Raw genomic sequence first — 3,259 nt, forward strand, 5'->3', positions numbered from 1 at the left:
TGACTGGCACCTTGATCATGGATATCTAGGCTCCAGAGCTGTAAGAAAATACATTTCTGTTGTGGAAGCCAAGCAGCCCATAGTATTTTGTTATGGCAGCCTGAACAGAGATGGTAGCAATGTGGACTGTTTTAGGACTTCTCTGTTGAGGTGTCATGGCAAATGGGAGCCAGGACTAGATTACAGTTCTGACTTGGATGGACAGAGCAGCATGTGGAGGCTCACATCATGAATTTTAGCTCCAGAATGACTGCAGGAATAAATCAGGAAACCTGAGAGGACCCACAGTCCCTCTAAATAAAGCAAATTTCTCCTGCAGAACCTGGGAGACACGCCAAATACCATAAGTGCGCAAACTGTGGAAGCAGAAAAGGGAAATCCTCCATCCTGGAACACACACTCTCGCTGGGGAAACTGAAGGTCTAGTTTGCTGGAGAAGATTCTGACCTTACCTGGAGCTGAGTCAATTTAGAGAGCTGAGCAAAATACAGTGGTAGAGGAAGAAGTGGGAAAGGCCCTGGGAGCTCGCTGGGTCCCCAAGCAGGCCATTCCTGCCTGGCACCACAGGGACTCTTCGTCAGGGTGGCCACAGGCATGGGGAAAATGCCACAGAGAGAAGGAAACCACCAGCTGAACTTTGTAACAATCTGAACCGGTCAAGAAGCCTCCTGGCCAGAACTGGGGGGAGGGCGCAAATCCTGCATGCAGACTCCAGCCATGACTCAGCAGAGGCAGCCATAATCCTCCTAGGTACATAACTCCATTGACCTGGAAACCTCACCCCCATTCCCTAAAGCAGCCGAAGCAAGACCCGCCCAAGGAGAGTCTGAGCTCAGAACCGCCAAGCCCTGCCCCCACCTGATGGTCCTTCCCTACCCACCTCAGTAACTGAACACAAAGGGCATATACCCTTGGGAGTTCTAGGGCCCTGCCCACCACTGCTTCCTCTCCATACTACCACAGCTGATGCTCTCTGGAAAGCGCCACCTCCCGGCAGGAGGCCAATCAGCACAAAAATAGAGCATTAAACCACCAAAGCTAAGAACTCTCACAAAGACCATTTCACCCCCTGCCACCTCCACCAGAACAGGTGCTGGTATCCATGGCTGAGAGACCCACAGACGGTTCACATCACAGGACTCCGTGTGGACAACCCCCAGTACCAGCCTGGTGTCTGGTAGACTTGCTGGGTGGCTAGATCCAGAAAAGTGATAACAATCAGTACAGCTTGGTTCTTAGGAACCCACATCCATAGAAAAAGGAGGAGAGTATTACATCAAGGGAATACCCTATGGACAAAAGAATCTGAACAACAGCCTTCAGCCCCAGACCTTCCCTCTGACAGAGCCTACCCAAATGAGAAGGAACCAGAAGACCAACTCTGGTAATATGACAGAACAAGGCTCTTTCATACCCCCCCAAAATCACACTAGCTCACCAGCAATGGATCCAGAACAAGAAGAAATCCATGATTTACCTGAAAAAGAATTCAGGAGGTTAGTTATTAAGCTAATCAGGGAGGCACCAGAGAAAGGTGAAGCCCATTGCAAGGAAATCCAAAAAATGATACAAGAAGTGAAGGGAGAAATATTTAAGGAAATAGATGGCATAAAGAAAAACAATCAAAACTTCAGGAAACATTGGACACACTTATAGAAATGCAATATGATCTGGAAAGTCTCAGCAATAGAATTGAAAAAGTAGAAGAAAGAAACTCAGAGCATGAGGACAAGATCTTTGAATTAACCCAATCCAACCAAGACAATGAAAAAAGAATAAAAATAGGCACATAGACCTATGGAACACAATAGAGAATCCAGAAATAAACCCAAATACTTACAACTAACTGATCTTTGACAAAGCAAAGAAAAATTTAAGTGGGGAAAGGACACCCTTTTCAACAAATGTTGCTGGGATAATTGTCTAGCTACATGTAGGATAATAAAGCTGGATCCTCATTTCTCACCTTATACAAAAATCAACTCAAGATGGATTAAGGACTTAAATCAAAGACCTGAAACTGTAAAAATTCTAGAAGATAACATTGGAAAAACCTTTCTAGACATTGGCTTAGGCAAGGATTTCATGACCAAGAACCCCAAATCAAATGCAGTAAAAACAAAGATGAATAGATGTTAATGAAACTAAAGAGCTTTTGCACAGCAAAAGGAATAGTCAGCTGAGTAAACACACAACCCAAGGAATGGGAGAAAATCTTTACAATCTATACATCTGACAAAGGACTAATATCCAGAATTTACAACAAACTCAAATAAATCAGCCAGAAAAATCAAATAACCCCATCAAAAAGTGGGCTAAGGACATGAATGGACAATTCTCAAAAGAAGATATACAAATGTCCAACAAACATATGGAAAAATGCTCAACATCACTAATGATTAGGGAAATGTAAATCAAAACCACAGTGTGATACCATCTTACTCCTGCAAGAATGGCCATAATAAAAAATCATAAACAGTAGATATTGGCATGGATGCAGTGATCAGGGAACACTTCTACTCTGCTGGTGGTAATTTGAACTAGTACAACCACTGTGGAAAACAGTGTGGAGATTCCTTAAAGAACTAAAAGTAGAACTACCATTTGATCCAGCAATCCCACTACTGGGTATCTACCCATGGAAAAGAAGTCATTATATAAAAAGATACTTGCACATGCATGTGTATAGCAATACAATTTGCAATTGCAAAGGTGTGGAACCAACCCAAATGCCCATCAATCAATGAGTAGATGAAGAAAGTATGGCATATATATATATATATATATATATATATATATATATATATATGAAGGAATACTACTCAACCATAAAAAGGAATGAATTAATGGCATTCACAGTGATGTGGATGAAACTGGAGACTATAATTCTAAGTGAAATAACTAAGGAATGGAAAACCAAACATAGTATGTTCTCACTCATAAGAGGGAGCTAAGCTATGAGGATGCAAAGGCATAAGAATGATACAATGGACTTTGGGGACTTGGGGGGAAGGGTGGGAGGGGGCCAAGGGATAAAAGACTACAAGTAGGGTGCAGTGTATACTGCTCGGATGATGGGTGCACCTAAATCTCACAAGTCACCATTTAAGAACTTACTCATGTAACCAAATACCACCTATACCCCAATAACCTATGGAAAAATAAAAATTTTAAAAATAATAATAATTAAATAAAACATGGCTAAAAATTTCCAAAAAATATTTGTATGGAGCTTACTCTGGGTAAAGCACAATATTAA

General features: G+C 41.9%; 1 annotated feature.

The window, feature by feature from the left end:
• Positions 748-1,248: an enhancer, noted in NCBI's record as "H3K27ac hESC enhancer chr5:62265821-62266321 (GRCh37/hg19 assembly coordinates)". NCBI's record gives its function as "activates a minimal SCP1, AML or CMV promoter by ChIP-STARR-seq in primed H9 embryonic stem cells {active_cell/tissue: H9 hESC(primed)}" and the evidence as "EXISTENCE:reporter gene assay evidence [ECO:0000049][PMID:30033119]".

Source organism: Homo sapiens, chromosome 5 (genome assembly GCF_000001405.40).
Source record: "Homo sapiens chromosome 5, GRCh38.p14 Primary Assembly".
Taxonomy (NCBI): Eukaryota; Metazoa; Chordata; class Mammalia; order Primates; family Hominidae; genus Homo; species Homo sapiens.